This window comes from Homo sapiens, chromosome 17 (genome assembly GCF_000001405.40).
Source record: "Homo sapiens chromosome 17, GRCh38.p14 Primary Assembly".
NCBI classification, from domain to species: Eukaryota; Metazoa; Chordata; class Mammalia; order Primates; family Hominidae; genus Homo; species Homo sapiens.
This window is the reverse complement of record NC_000017.11, coordinates 47,982,804-47,999,002: the sequence shown is the minus strand read 5'-3', so window position 1 is coordinate 47,999,002 and position 16,199 is coordinate 47,982,804. Positions and strand designations below refer to the sequence as shown.

Genomic DNA, 16,199 nt, shown 5'->3' with positions numbered 1-16,199 from the left:
TTTTTTTTTTTTTTTTTTTAAGACAAAGTCTTGCTCTGTCACCCAGGCTGGAGGGCAGTGGCGTGATCTCAGTTCACTGCAACCTCTGCCTCCCGAACTCAAGCCATCCTTCTGCCTCAGCCTCCCGAGTAACTGGGACTACAGGCATACAACACCATGCCCAGCTAATTTTTGTATTTTTAGTACAGACAACGTTTCACCATGTTGCCCAGGCTAGTGTTGAACTCCTGAGCTCAAGTGATCCTCCAACCTCAGCCTCCCAAAGTGCTGGGGTTACTGGCATGAGCCACCGTTGCCCAGCCTGGTCCTTCTTTTTAAAAAGAAGTGTGGGCCAGGCATGGTGGCTCACACCTGTAATCTCAGCATTTTGGGAGGCTGAGGCAGGTGGATCACCTGAGGTCAGGAGTTTGAGACCAGGCTGGCCAACATGGTGAAACCCCGTCTCTACTAAAAATACATTTAAAAAATTAGCCAGGTGTGGTGGTGGGTGCCTGTAATCCCAGCTACTTGGGAGGCTGAGGCAGGAAAATGGCTTGAACCTGGGAGGCGGAGGTTGCAGTAAGCCGAGATTGCGCTACTGCACTCCAGCCTGGGCGATGGAGCAAGACTGTCTCAAAAAAAAAAAAAAAGTGTGAAGACTTTTCTATTACTACCTTTTAAAGATGAGGCAGCTGAGACCTAGAAAGATTAATTGTTGCTGAGAGCCACACAGCTTACTAGGACCAGATTCAAAAGTCCCTGATCCCCGAACCACCAGATGCCACACTCCACAATCCAACTCAGCTGGACTGTCATAGGCAGGGAGGAGAGGAGACAGGCATCACCACAGCAGCACCCAGGCAGGAGCGCAGGGGGCAATCGACAGTGGCCAATGTCAAAATAAGTGGCCAAAGGGTCTCGCAGCCAACCTTTGCTGGGCAAAACCAAACCAAACCCAAACAAACCCCTCAAACTTGAAGAGTCCTATTTTGACCCAACCCTGTTCATGTCCTCAGGGAGTAAATTATTTCCCATTCTGACTTGGATGAAACAAGAAGCATCCTCACCCCTCTTCCCCCAAGTCTCTCTCCCAAACCTACGAAAAGTCCTTGGGCAATGCACTGTATGTGGGTTGAGGGGGTGGGGGAGGAAGTGGGAAAGAATAACCCCTTTTAGACAAGTCCAGGAATAATTATTTCAGCAGCTGTTGTATTTTCTTCCCGGGTAAGGAGCAAGAAGGAAGCGTGGTGCAGTGCTGAGCGGAGGCCTGGGTCTTCAAGAGCCCTGGATTCTCGCTCTGGCTCTTCTACTTATTTGGGTGGATCTCTTCCGCTCTCTGGACATCAACTTCCCTATCTGTACAATGAAAGTCTAGAACTTTCCAGCATCTTATTTATTTATTTATTGAGACAGAGTTTCGCTCTTGTTGCTCAGGCTGGAGTGCAATGGCACAATCTTGGCTCACTGCAACCTCCCCTTCCTGGGTTCAAGCCATTCTCCTGCCTCAGCCTTCCGAGTAGCTGGAATTACAGGAGCCCGCTACCAAGCCCGGCTAATTTTTTGTATTTTTAGTAGAGATAGGGTTTCACTATGTTCGCCAGGCTGGTCTTGAACTCCTGACCTCAGGCAATCCACCCGCCTCGGCCTCCCAAAGTGTTGGGATTACAGGCTTGAGCCACCGTGCCCGGCCCAGCATCTCTTTCTTTTAAAATGCCATGAATTGCCGGGCGCAGTGGCTCATGCCTGTAATCCCAGTACTTTGGGAGGCCGAGGTGGGCGGATCATGAGGTCAGGAGATCGAGACCATCCTGGCTAACATGGTGAAACCCTGTCTCTACTAAAAAAAAATACAAAAAATGAGCCGGGCATGGTGGCAGGTGCCTGTAGTCCCAGCTACTCTGGAGGCTGAGGCAGGAGAATGGCATGAACCCGGGAGGCAGAGCTTGCAGTGAGCCGAGATCGCGCCACTGCACTCCAGCCTGGGTGACAGTGTGAGACTCCATCTCAAAAATAAATAAATAAATAAATAAATAAATAAATTAAATAAAATGCCATGAATCACCGTGGGGGGAAATGGTAGGGAGACCACCCAGTAACGCAATAATGGTTCTCCCCCAACCCTTGCATCCCACTCTTTCACCAGCTTCAACAAAGGCCCTTTCCTTGCACCTCTGAAGATGCTCCTCACTCCATAGACACCCCACAAAGGCCCCCTCCCTCCAGTTTCTCTGACATCTCCCAGGGCTGACTGGGGCTGCCCCAGCCTGGTATCTGGTCTCCTGTGTCCTAGTCATTCCTTGTGTCCGTGTTTCTTCCTTAGGAGCTGGGGTCACCGTGCCAAAGAGGAGGAATGAGAAGTGGGGGTCATCTGTTTTCCATAGCCTCTGCCCATCTACCGAGTCTGGTTTGCCAGAAGAGGGGAAGGAGGATAGGGGTGGGTGGTAAAAGAACCCTGTGACCCGTCCCCCAAACCTGTCCTGCAGCTTCTCACCCGACTGTCTTCTCCTCCAGAAGGAAAATGGGTCACGCTCCACAAGAGCCTGTTATCGCCAACCTGGCCCTGCTGCTGCCTGATAGAGCCCAGCCCTCCCCCGCCAGATCTCATTAAGGGGTCGCTGCTTATGCTTCCCAGCCGCCCCCCATCCATCTTTGGCCATGGATGACAGACTGGGCCTGGAGGCTGATGTCCGGCAGGTGACAGGGTTAATGGCAGAAGAGGGCAGAGGGCAGAGGCCAGCCAACTCACAGTGGCGGGAGGGCAGTCTGGGAGGCCCTGGGTCCACTCCAGTTGGGCAGCCTCACAAATTACAGCACCTGGGGGAGGGATGAGCCCCAGACCCCTCCATCCCCAGGGAAGCAAGGTGGGCAGTATCAGCCACCTTGGGAGCAGATGGTGGGAGGAGAGAATGTTAGCCTGGGAAGAAGAGGAATAAAGACACTTAGAAGGGGAAGGAGAGCTGAAAAGAAGAGGGAGAAATTTCTATATTTGTAGGCTCAGTGAAAACATTGCTTCTTGGATGCCTGGATGCTCTTTGGCAAGAAACACACATTTTGCAGACATGTATGAAGTCAGGTGAGTGTTTTGAAGATGGGTGCCCAGGACCCATTCTGTTTTCCCTCCCAGTTGCCTAGTTCAGCACCTGGCACAGTAGTTAGGAGTAAGGTTCCAGAGTCAAATAATATGAGTCCAAGTCCTTTTCAGGTCCTTTCTGTGGGACACAGGTAAATTACTTAACCTCTCTGAGCTTGATGTTCTCCATGTGTGCAATGTAGCTTTGGTATTACGCAGCTTCTGTGAGGAGAAATGACGCGGCACATGGGAAACACAGCACCTGGTCCTGGGCTGTGCTAGGATTAGCTCCTCTTGGAAGTAGCGGGCTCATTGCTTTAATTACTGCAATCACCTTTGCTGCCTCTCTCCCATCCCCAAGCTTTTCCCAAGCCGTCTGCCTGGGACCTCCCTCGTTTGACCTCATACATGCCTGTGATCACCTCCCGGCCTGCTCGGCTCACTCCCAGGGAGCCACTGAATGCTGCTTTGGGGGCAGCCGCCCCCATCATGGCTCCCAGAGGGGAGGCCCCATGGTGACAAGGGTTAGTCCCTCTGGGCCTTTGAAGCCCAGGGAGGGAAGGGGGAGGGGCTGCCCTGTGCTCCTGACCTGGGGGATGAGGCTCACCCCGCCACCATGGGAGGAGAGCTGAGAAACAATGGGCAGTGGAAGCCCGGCTCCCACGCCGGCCAGCTGGCAGTCAGGAGAGGGGGTGGGGTAAGGGTGGGAGTGTCCCCTCCTCAGAGCAAGCAGAAAGCTTCAAGAGGCTGGGTCTCCCCAAAGGGACCCTGAATGTCAAAGGTATCCTATGGAGACAAGGAGAGAAATTTTTGCAATGTGGCTTCCTGGACAGAGGTTGTCCAGAGGCCCCAAAGATGGGGTGCAGAGAATGCCCCCAGTTCCAGGGACCCCCTCAAGTACACCCCGATCTCAGGGTGGGCAAAGAAGCCAACTAGCACTACTCTGCCCTCCTTCCCAAGCCTGGATGGAGATCCCCCGCTCTGGGGGTGCTGATCGCCTCCATTAGGTCCTCAATCTTGCAAGGATAATGCATGGCCCAGGCTGGGCTGGGGGAGGAGGCCCCTCTAGCAGAGAAGCCAGGAGGCAGGATGCAGCGGTGCCTGAGCAGAATACCAAGCAGCCACCTGGTTGCCCTGGGCCTCAGGCTGCCTCTGGTGCCAGCAAATCTGGGCAAGGTGGGGGTCTGTCCCCTGGCCACCTCTATGCCTTTATGCCTAGCTCTACCAACTCCCTACTGTGGCTGAACTCAGTGAGGCTTCTCCGTGTGGTGTCAGGGTCCTGGGTAGCCTGAAACAGCCATGTCCACCCCACTCAACTAGACCAGAGCCCTGCTCATCTCAAAGTACCTGAGGATGACCCGGTAAGATGAGAATTAACTACACCTCTGATGGAGGTAGGAAGTCACAGAACACGAGAACATTCTCCCCTTTCCTTGTCTATCCACAGTTGTCAAAGGAAATAAAGCTTTCTTCTGGAGTGAATGTTGGAATGGTGTGGCCTGCTTGTCACTCATTCAGTCCCCTTTGGGATGTTGCTGCTGCCTTTTGCAGCTTGCTCTTGTTGTCCATGCCTCTAATCTTAGTGTATCAGACTCCAGCCTCCCTCGCCTTCCGTTGGGAAAGCCTTGTAGCCACCTCATATGATACTGCTTACAGGTGATGGAGCCCCTTCACTTGGATAGGCTCATCTGACTCTCTCCATCCTGCCAGGTGGGATGGACAGCTGTTACTTCCCAGGAAGGCAGTGTAGCCTAGTAGTTAGGGGCTTGGGCCCTGCAGTCAGGCACATCCAGGCTGTCAACAAGCGTCCCTGCTTACCAGCTGGGCAAGTTTCTTAATTTCTCAGAGTCTGAGTTTCCTTATCTACTACATGGGGATTAAATCAGTCTCCACACACGGTGGTTATGGGACTGCATTAAATAAGATCTTGCTAACGATGCCTGGCACATTGTAAGTGTTTAAAAACAGCAAAGGGAAAAGGAATTTCTTAAAATTTCTGTTTTAGACGGGCAAGGTGGCTCACACCTGTAATCCCAGCACTTTGGGAGGCCGAGGCAGGCATATTGCTTGAGTCCAGGAGTTTGAGACCAACCTGGGCAACATGGCAAAACCCTGTCTCTACTAAAAATACAAAAAATTAGCTGGGTGTGATGGCCCGCACCTGTAGTCCCAGCTACTCAGGAGGCTGAGGTGGGAGGATCCCTTTAGACCAGGAGGCAGAGGTTGCAGTGAGCTGAGCTAACACCACTGCACTCCAGCCTGGGCAACAGAACAAGACCCTGTCTCAAAAAAAAATAAAATATAAAATAAGATTCCTATTTATTTGAGGCAGATGAGAGGTTGAGCTAGATCCCAGAGCTAGTGATTGTTTTGAATTGAGGTCTCCTGACCTCAGTCCAAAGCTTTCCTCATCACACCTTACAGACGCCTTTCTTCCCCTCCTGCTCCATGTTTCAGCCTTGTCCCCCAAATTCTGCATGCTCTCAGATAGGGCAGCAGGTCCCCGCTCCAGCCTCTGAGTCCTCCCTGCATGTGGAGGGCTGCTTCTCTCCTCTCATCAGGACAGTGTGGAAACGTCTGCAGTCATGGGAACCACAATCAGGATTCAAGGCTTATAATTCAGCAGTGATCAGATGTAGGGGAGGTGCCGGGACAGTTATATTAATAACTGTGCCATTAAAAACAAGCAAGCGATGTTCTCATAAAGCATGGGTTGGTTGGGGTAGTTAGGTTTGTTTATTTATTTATATATTTCCCTTCAGGAGTGAACAGGGCCACACAGAGGGAGACCATTAAATTATCTCTTGAAATGATTCCAGTAATAAGTTGGGCAGGTTAGAAGAGCTGTCGGCAGCTCCCGCCAGACCTCCTTCGGCTTTTCAGAACTCGTATCTTTCACTTGGCCTTGTTTTATATGGGGCCAATTACTCCCTTCTGGGTTAGCTGTGTCCCTTGTTTAGAGGTGCTATTTACATGGACAAAATGAATTTTTTTTTCATCAGCCAACGAAGTCAGAGTGATCGTATATTATTTCTTGCTGGGAATCAGAACATGCTGTGTGACATGGAAAAGAGGGGGAACCTGTAGGGACAGGGGCTTTACATATTTGAAATAAGCAGTCTTCTGGAAAATCCACAGAGACCCAATAATAATAAATCAATAATAATAATAATAACATTTATATAGTGGGGGTGAAGGGCCAAGTTCCCTTTTGAGCACGTTTCATGTGTTAACATGTTTGATTTTCATAATAACCCTACATAGTCAATTCAGTTCCAGCCACTCTGACTTCCCAGCCTGGATTCTCATCCACTATACTGCCTTGACTATTCTTCTCTGGGGATGGTGGCTTCTCTATCTTTAAAGGTCTGAAATGGGGATGCCCTAGCCTCAATTAAGCGGGTGAATTTTTGAAGCCTAAGAACTCCTTCCTGCCTAATAGTGTCACAGCTGTGGGACCCTGAGTAACTACTAGGAGTCAAGCACTGTGCAAAGAAACATGTTATGTGCATTATCTCACTCGAGCCTTAACCTTGTGATGTTGACTCTGCAGATGAGCATATCAAGGCTCAGAAGTGTCTCAAGCCACATGGTAGCAAGCAAATACCAGATTCAAATCCAGGGCTGACTCTGCGGGCCCAGATGCCCTACAGAGTTCCTCCCATTTCCCATGCCAGGGTTTTATTTTTATTTATTTATCTCTTTTCGAGATGGAATTTTGATCTGTTGCCCAGGCTGGAGTGCAGTGGTGTGATCTCCGCTCACTGCAACCTCCACCTCCCAGGTTCAAGCAATTCACTTGCCCTAGCCTTCCAAGTAGCTGGGATTACAGGTGTATGCCGCCACATCTGGCTAATTTTTGTATTTTTAGTAGGGACAAGGTTTCACCATGCTGGCCAGGCTGGGCTTGAACTCCTGACCTCATGATCTGCCCGTGTCAGCCTTCCAAAGTGCTGGGATTACAGTCGTGAGCCACCACGCCCTGCCGGGATTTTATTATTCTAATACTCTGGACTCAGGTTTGACCAAGCCCCAGTGCAGGGTGTTTAACTCATTTCTAAGATGCCTGGATCCCCAAGGGTGAGGTCCTAGGCCAGGGGACCCAGCCTGAGATAGGCACAGACAGGGAGGCACAGGGAGTCATTTAATTTTACATTAAAAGAGAAGGTCCCCTCCTCCTCGCCCCTCCCCCTGTCCCCTGCCTGGGCTCCCTTCCAATCACTTCAGAGACCCCAGAGGGGGCTTGACCTCTGTCCTCGGGGGAGGTCAGCCGGGGTGACCCTGCCTGTGTGCAGGATCCCGTGAGAGAGGCCCAGCTGCAGGCCCCCGAGGGCTGGAAGTGCACCCCACCCGGAAACAGGCCGGGGTCACAGAGGGCGGCCCAGGCTGAAGGGGCTTCCCTGGCCCTTTGTGAGCCAAAGGGCAGGGGGAGATTCGTTCCACAGGCAGCCCCTGTGTCTCCAGAGAAAGGGGCTATTATGGTGCAACTAAAAATACAGGGCACAGCCCACCCCACCTCCCCTTTTATTGCCATGGAGATTGGGGGAGGTCTCTGGGAGGGATGAAGAGAGCAAAAGAGGGAGAGAGAGTGAAAGGCAGGTGGAAACAGGGAAGGAGCAGGGAGGGGGTGAAGTGAAAGGGGGAGGGGAAGCCGGCAGAGCTCCCGCCTGCCTTTCTCAACCAGAGGCGCTGGTGGGATCTCTCAGCTTCATCTCTCATTCTTTCCTTTCCACATCCTGCCTGCTGGGTCACAGACACTGCCTGGGGGCTACCGGGGCAAAGAAGGGTTTGCCCACTACCCTGCAGCTGGCCCTGTGACCTTTGACGGTGAGGGGTCCCACCATCTGGGATTAAATTGCAAGATGGCCACATGGAAGGCAGCTGGTGAACAGCTGCTAGGCCTCGTCCAGCCTCTGGACATACCAAGTACCCAAATCATTGACTCAGAGTCATCTGACCCAACCTCCCACTCTCAGCAGTGTCCCCACCAGATATTGATCCAATGTCAGCCTAAGGTCTTCAGTGATGTGACTTTCCCACCTGTGCCCTTGCAGGGCATTTTTGGTTGTCAGAAAGGGCTTCCTTATATCAGGTGGAAATCCATCTCCCTGTTACCTCCACAGGTGGGCTCTAGTTCTGCCCTCTGAGGCCACACAGTGGAATAAAGTAGGGATTTAATGTCATGGAAAGAAAACATAAAAGCCTGACCCTTCTTGGCATAAAATACTTGAAGAAAGCTGCTGAGAAGATAACTCAGTTGGGAAAAACACATAGTCTGTAGTTTTAAAATATCCAAAGCTAAGTGAAAGTCCTGGGGTGAAAAGTGATTCTGGACACTGGACACTGGTGGGCAAAAGACAGGACATCTTAAGATGCCAGGCTCCCTGGTGCTGCACTGCCCTGATGTCAACACAGAAGTTGATGGGGCCAGGCTCGGTGGCTCACGCCTGTAATCCCAGCACTTTGGGAGGCCGAGGCGGGTGGATCACCTGAGGTCAGGAGTTCAAGACCAGCTTGGCCAACATGGCAAAACCCCGTCTCTACTAAAAACACAAAAATTGGCCAGGCATGGTGGCACACGCATGTAATCCTAGCTACTTGGGAGGCTGAGGCAGGAGAATTGCTTGAACCTGGGAGGTGGAGGTTGCAGTGAGCCGAGATCGCGCCACTGAACTCCAGCCTGGGCGACAGAGCAAGACTGTCTAAATAAATAAATAAATAAAAGATTTAGAGATGATGACTGGGCTCCTCCAATTGGCAAGGTCATAAGTTCCAGCCTGCACTCTTGGGAGCCCACCTGCAAAGTGTCATGTCAGTTTCTGGCACCCAAAAGACCTTTTTTAGCAAGGTGGGTCAGTTACAAGGCTGCATGGAGCAAGAAGAATGGAAGTGGGAAAGAGGCAAACTCCATTGTGGAGGAAAATTCAGACTCTGATTACCTTTTTGTTCCTCCTCCCCCTCCTACCAGCTGGGGTGGCCTGGGAACCAGACTCCCTTAGGTAGGCATTCGGAACAGGTGTGGTTTAGGTGCATGAGGAGCCAGAGATAAGCTGAGAGTTGTGGTTGCATTTACCAAAGACTACATCCTGTGGTCAAGAACAGTTGTTTCAAAATACCAGGCATCCATGATATCAGAGAAGGCCATGATTCCTCCATCTACAGAGAGAAAAAGGAGGTAAGTCCATGGTCCCTATTTGAACAATGCCAAAGCCCAGGCTGTCAAGAAAGGCAGGCATACCTGCTGTTGCCTCTTCCCACTCAATGCTGGGGCTCCTGCCCAAATGCTGGTGTCCAGATTGTATTTATGACTGTTTTAAGAAAGAGTGACAGAGCCTTTTAATATCCCTGACAGCCCAGGATGTTTTAATAGATGGTGGAGCTGGGCTTCAAGAGTTAAGAAAAGAGAGCAGAGTTGTTGAGCGAGCTGTCAGGGCTAGTTTCTATGACAGACCTACTGATCGACTCCACGACAAAATAAAATACGGGGCCGTGTCTCTCCTCGGCCCTATCAGGTTGACAGACAGTCTGTCACCATTGTATGTCATCTTTCACCTCCTAATCGCTCAAGCTTAGGGGAAATCTGTGTTTAATGGGGAATCTCTGCAGGATTTCCTCCCAAACCTGCCTCCTGAACGGCAGGCCTCTATTTCAATCTCCCGGGGCTCCTGTGGGCGTTCTCCAATTTTCTGGATTTCACACAGAACTCTTCTAGCTACAGGGCCCTGCCTCCATTGTTGCTGTTTGTTAGAGGTGATTACAGGTCTCCTAGGATGGCTCAATATTCTGCAAAAACAGAATGGATAGTGATGATGGTGGTACAGCAATGTGAATGTCACTGAACTGTACGCTCAAAAAAGGTTAAAATGATACATTTTATTCTATGTATGTCTTACCTCAAAACCAAAACCAAAACCCACAGATGGATAAGGAATGAAGAGAGCTGCCTTGGCTCTTTGACCCCTTGTAGGGTGTGTGCTTGTAACCCGTATGGCCAGCGCAGGGCCATTCCCAGTGTCTCCCCTTCCAGAAGCACACTCAGCTCCCCCACCTCCTGCTTCCTCACCTCCCTGGTTAATACATCTCAAGGTCATTTTTGGAGTTGAACATCTGGAGGCTCCTTAAACACACTTTTCCAGCACCAGACTTGGGGCTGGTCTGACCAGCAACTCAGTTTGTGGCTAAAGCCACTTTAGCCACACCCTTGACATGTTTTGGCACTTGAGGTCTAAGAAATTCTCCCAGGGTTTTTGTGTGTGTGTGTATGTGTGTGTGGGGGGAGGGGAAGGATGGAAGCAAATTCAAGGGACCAGTGACTTTGCTTTTTTTTTTTTTTGTATTTTTAGTGGAGATGGGGTTTCAGCATGTTGGCCAGGCTGGCCTCAAACTCCTGACCTCAAGTGATCCACCCGCCTTGGCCTCCCAATGTGCTGGGATTACAGGTGTGAGCCACTGTGCCTGTCCTCCATGTTACTTTTTTTTTTTTTTTTTTTTTGATTCAGGGTCTCTGTCGCCCAGGCTGGAGTGCAGTGGTGTGATCTTGGCTCGCTGCAGCCTCTGCCTCCTGGACTCAGGTGACCCTCCCACCTCAGCCTCCACAGTAGCTGGGACTACAGGTGCAGGCCACCAAATCCGGCTAATTTTTTGTATCTCTTGTAGAGACGGGGTTTTGCTATGTTGTCCAGGTTGGTCTCGAACTCCTGGGCTCAAGCAGTCCACCTGCCTCAGCTTCCCAAAGTGCTGGGATTACAGGAATGAGCCACCATGCCCAACCTGACTTTGCTTTTTCTTGAATGACAGACAGAACTGTCTTCTGAAAGAACTAAGTTCTTCCTTCCCTGTGCTTTAAGATTAGTTGTGCTGGGTCTGCCCTCAGGCATTTGGGGTTCCCCTCCCTTCTACCAGGGTTAAGGGGCAGTGCGGATGCTCCTCGGTCCTGGTCCCCAGGTACAGATGCAACTACCTCCCTCCAACCTCACTGGCCCAGGGCTCTGCGTTCAAGTCCTCTGCCAGGAGAGAGTTAAGGGCTTGGGTTTAATTTGCCCGTTAATCACAGTTAAAAGAAGTAATGAGCGTCTCCCCAAAGCCTGGGTGTTTCTCTGCAGATTAAGCAGCAATTTGCATAGCCCCTTTATTCATTCCCACCTTCCCCTGTGGGGCGGCTTGTCCTTTCAGACACAGCCAAGCGCAGCCAGTGGCGGGAGCGGTTTGACAAATGGCTTTGCCATGCTCGTGGTTTGGGCGAGAGGGAGGGAGGGGAATGCTGGGAGGGAGAGAGCAGCTCCCGACAGTAATGGATAGCTGGGGCGTTAAGTAGTGCAGAACTTTTTATTAGATACACAGGAGAAGTTTAAATATTCAAACTGGTTTTCTTTGAAGCCTGGGGAATGAGAGGAGGGTGGCGGGCTGGCTAAGTAAGAGTTTACTCAGGGCCAATTTACTCAGAGAGGCCCTGGCAGTCACCAGGGAGGAAGGGCATCTGGAGGACACAGGCAGATCCGGGTCAGCTGGTGCCCCCGGGCTCTACACGCCTGCAGCAGCCTTGATGCCCTCCTGCTGGGCTCAGGCTCTGCCAGGCGGGACAGCTACCCTGGACGCAGCTCCTCGGGCCCGATTGCTCAGAGGGCAGAACGGCTTGCTCAAAGCCCAGCAGATGGTGGTATTCAGACAGGGAGGAGGCCCCAGCTTTGATAGCAAACCTAACTCTATGAAGCAATGATATCTCCAAAAGGATGGGACAATAGCCCTCTACTTTCCTCTCCAGAAATGTCCTCAACCAAACAGTGAAAGAGGAGAGATGAGGCCCAGAAATGATCCTCGGGGTAGGCAGGCACTCTGCCCAGGCTGGTCTCGAACTCCTGGGCTCAAGTGATCCTCCCGCCTCGGCCTCCAAAGTGCTGGGATTACAGGCGTAAGCCACCCCACCTGGCCATCAGTCCATTTAAAAAGCTGACTTAACCCCAATTTTCTTCCCAAACTTCTTGTGCTTCGTGAGACTCTTCCTTTGTGTTAACTTGTAAGCCACATGATCATAATATGTCAGAGGTCAAAGTCATTTTAGAGAGCATTAAGACAATTAAAGTTCAGAGAAGCTAACGTTTGATACTCCAAGAGAGACATAAATGTGGTCAAGACACCATTCCTGCCCGCAAGCAGCTCAGTGGGCAGGCACTTCAGGAAGGCATATAACACAATAAATAAGAGCTCCCCCCTCCTAAGGATATCTGCATGGGGCTGCAGGATGCTGCTGAGGGATGGAGTGACTAATTCTGCAGGGACAACTGGAGATGTCCACAGAGATGCATTTGGGCCTCATCTGAATCGGGGGTCAAGATGGTTTGGAGGGAGCCGAGTAAAGGATGGGGCCTCGAGGACACATGTGGATTTGATGTCTTGGGTGGGTAGCCCAGGCTGAAAAGGCTGGTGGGGTTCCAATTATGCAGGGCTTGGCGGCTGCTACTCTAGGAATTTGGGGCACTACAGAGCCTCAGAGTTTCTAAGCAGGGAAATGACTAGGGTGAAAAGGCCCAGGGTGGATTAGAAAGAGCAGCCAGCAGAGCCCAGGACACCACTGATGAAACTGTCAGGAAATAAAGAGAGATGCAGTGTGGGTGTGGACAATGGCTTTGATTTGGGACATGTTGGAATATGGGGCACCAGAACACGACTTTCTTTTTTCTTTTGAGACAAAGTCTTGCTCTGTCACCCAGGCTGGAGTGCAGTGACGAGATCTTGGCTCACTGCAACCTCCGCCTCTGGGTTCAAGCGATTCTCCTGCCGAGTAGCTGGGACTACAGGTGCATGTCGCCACGCTCAGGTAATTTTTGTATTTTTAGTAGAGACGGAGTGTCACTGTACTGGCCAGGCTGGTCTCGAACTACTGACCTCATGATCCACCTGCCTCAGCCTCCCAAAGTGCTGGGATTACAGGCGTGACCCACCACGCCCGGCCTAGAACACAACTTTCTAACCTCAGCTGAGGGTATTTCCACCCCACCGCCCTCTCACAACAGCTAGTCTGAGCCTTACTGTGCCAGGCACTGTTTTTTTGTTTTTGTTTTTGTTTGAGACGGAGTTTCACTTTTGTTGCCTAGGCTGGAGTGCAATGGCGCGATCTCGGCTCACTGCAACCTCCGTCTCCTGGGTTCAAGCGATTCTCCTGTCTCAGCCTCCTGAATAGCTGGGATTACAGGTGCCTGCCACTATGCTGGCTAATTTTTGGTGTTTTTAGTGGAGACGGGGTTTCACCATGTTGGCCAGGCTGGTCTGGAACTCCTGACCTCAGATGATCCGCCTGCCCTGGCCTGCCAAAGTGCTGGGATTACAGGCATGAGCCACTGCGCCCGGCCTCCAGGCACTGTTCTAAGTGGTGTGCATGCTCACCACAGCTTCCTACCCAAGGTCTTCGTCTTCATTTTACAGGTGAAGGAAATGAGGCAGAGAGGTCCAGCAACTTGCCCAAGGGAGTAAGAACAGAGACAGAGTTTGACCCAGGCAGTCCAGATCTCAAGAACGTGCTAATCACCAACACACTGTATTACATGTTTGTCTTCCTATCACTTTTATTAAATTTTGTATGTGCATGTACAGGAGTTGGGAAAGAGATCAAACAAGTGGCAATTAGATTAAATAGGCCCAATGAGGTGGCTCACACCTGTAATCCCAGCACGTTGGGAGGCTGAGGCAGGAGGATCCCTTGAGGCTAGGAGTTTGAGATCAGCCTGGACAACATAGTGAGACCCTGTCTCTATTAAAAAATAAGTTTAGGTTGCCAGGCACGGTGGCTCACGCCTGTAATCCCAGCACTTTGGGAGGCTGAGGCGGGTGGATCATGAGGTCAGGAGTTCAACACCAGCCTGACCAATGGCGAAACCATGTCTCTACTAAAAATACAAAAATTAGTTGAGCGTGGTGGCAGGTGCCTGTAATCTCAGCTACTCGGGAGGCTGAGGCAGGAGAATCGCTTGAACCTGGGCGGCAGAGCTTGCAGTGAGCTAAGATCACGCCACTACACTCCAGCCTGGGTGACAGAGTGAGGTTCTGTCTCAAAAAAAAAATAAATAAATAAAATAAGTTTAGGCCAGGCATGGTGGTTCATGCCTGTAATACCAGCACTTTGGGAGGCCGAGGTGGGTGGATCACCTGAGGTCAGGAGTTCAAGACCAGCCTGGCCAATGCTGTGAAACCCAGGCTCTACTGCACCTGTAATCCCAGCTACTTGGGAGGCTGAGGCAGAAGAATCGCTTGAACCCGGGAGGCAAAGGTTGCAGTGAGCCGAGATCGCGCCAGTGTACTCCAGCCTGGGTGACGAGCAAAACTGTCTCAAAAATAATAAGTTTTAAAAACAGATGAAATAAAAATCATTAACAGAACAGGTAGGAGTGTATGAAAAGGCAGAGAAGAGCCACAGGACCTGGGTTTCTGGGGAGAAACTGTACGCAACCATTAATTCTGGGGAATTAATGGTGGTTGGGAGGTGCATGTGAGGAGCTCCAGCAAGGTTGGCTTCTGCTCCCAAAGGCTGGGGATGTGCCTTTCTTTTGTCCTCAACTCCCGGCCAGGTCTCCAGAGCAGGTTAATTCTTTAGATGGGTGAGGAGATGTTCACTCTGAATGATGCAGCTTGTTCCCTGCTCTGAACTGGCAATAGGAAAGGAATTCTAGATGTGCCAGACTCCCCATGATACTGGCAGGCCCTCAGAGGGGCACAGGGGGTGGACCGCTGGGGCCCAGATGAACGAGCCTTAGCACTCCACTTATCCCATGTTCACAGTCAGCCACTGCAGGCTGCAGTGCAAAGGGATCCTACTTTTGTGGTCTATAAAGAGAACCACACCGGAGAGGACACGGTAGAACTGACGCAGGGAGAGAGGCAATGTTTGGGCAGAGAGGCAGTGAGTGGGGCTGAGCCATGGCTGGATTTAGCAAGCAGAGAATTTTGGAAAGGTGACTCGCTGCTTCCTTATCTGAAGCCGGGTGAGGAGTCTTAGCCAAGTAGTGAGAGGCGTTGCCTTAAATCCTCTCTGGAAAGAGGTGGGATAAAAGTCAACACAAAAGTATAGTGTGCTCTTGGCAGCATAATTCACATCAAACTAAGGATTCTGAGGGTGTAATCTTGGTGCACCGCTTCCCTCTTTCCCTGAAAGAGGGAAGTTTCAACCTGACTGCTTGAAACTTGGTCTCAAGCTCCCCTAAAGCCCCTCACCTCTCCTTTCCAAGAAGACAAGTTAGGCCAGGATGGAGAGTCCTCATCATGGTTCCCCAAACCAAAAATAAGAGCTCACACATGTCCACCAAGAGCCTCCTCCGCACCAGGCAGCGTTCTAAGAGCTCTGCATATCTTAACTCATTCTGTCCCTACAACGACTTCTGAGGGCATTCTGAGATACACAAGCAGGAACCCAAATACAACCAGTGAAGCTCAGGGAAGCTGGAGGCAGACCTGAAAGACACAGAGCTGCTCTTGCCAGGGAGAACCAGCCGGGTGGATCCCTTCAGTGCCTTCAGCATGGCCAGGAGGGCTGGACTCAGGAAGCAGGCGGCGGTAAAGGAAAGGGAGGCTAAAGGTTCTGGAGAACAAACCCAATGTTATCGAGTTAAAGGCTTTCATGAAACCACTTGCCTCAGCCTGGGGATCAGGGTGGGCCTTGATGTCACCTGTTAAGCAGTCACCTAGTATCTCTGATCCAGAGCAGTGGCCTAACCACACTGCTTACCAAGGGGGCCAAAATCAGCTGAGAAAACTCTATCTAAACCCACTTCCCTTCCTGGGAAAATAGCCAAACCTCAGTGAGCACTGCTTCCCCTCGCTGACCTTAGGCAGGGCTGGGAAAGCAGGTCAGGTGCTCATCTGCAAGCGCAGGGGCAGAAGCTTTGGAGGCCTGAACCCGGTCTGCCATGGTCACCTGGTCCACGGGGTTTCTCCCTGAAGCTCCATTGCTGTAAGCAATGGAGTCTGCGTAACAGCTGGTGACTGGGCAAAGGACATTAGAGTGGGCAAGGGTAGTATGCCTCAGTGAACTGACTGCTACTGCAAGAGGCTGGCCAGATGGCCAACGGAGCCAGCAGCTGAACAGGTGGGGCAGGAGCTAGAAGGCAATCTCCCAGAGGGAGAGGGACCAAGAGCAGCAGGCAGTTCCCTAAGCCAAGAGCAT

The 16,199-nt window shown here is 51.3% G+C and overlaps 1 annotated feature.

Annotated features, from left to right (window-relative positions):
- Positions 3,394–3,992: an enhancer, noted in NCBI's record as "H3K4me1 hESC enhancer chr17:46072377-46072975 (GRCh37/hg19 assembly coordinates)". NCBI's record gives its function as "activates a minimal SCP1, AML or CMV promoter by ChIP-STARR-seq in naive H9 embryonic stem cells {active_cell/tissue: H9 hESC(naive)}" and the evidence as "EXISTENCE:reporter gene assay evidence [ECO:0000049][PMID:30033119]".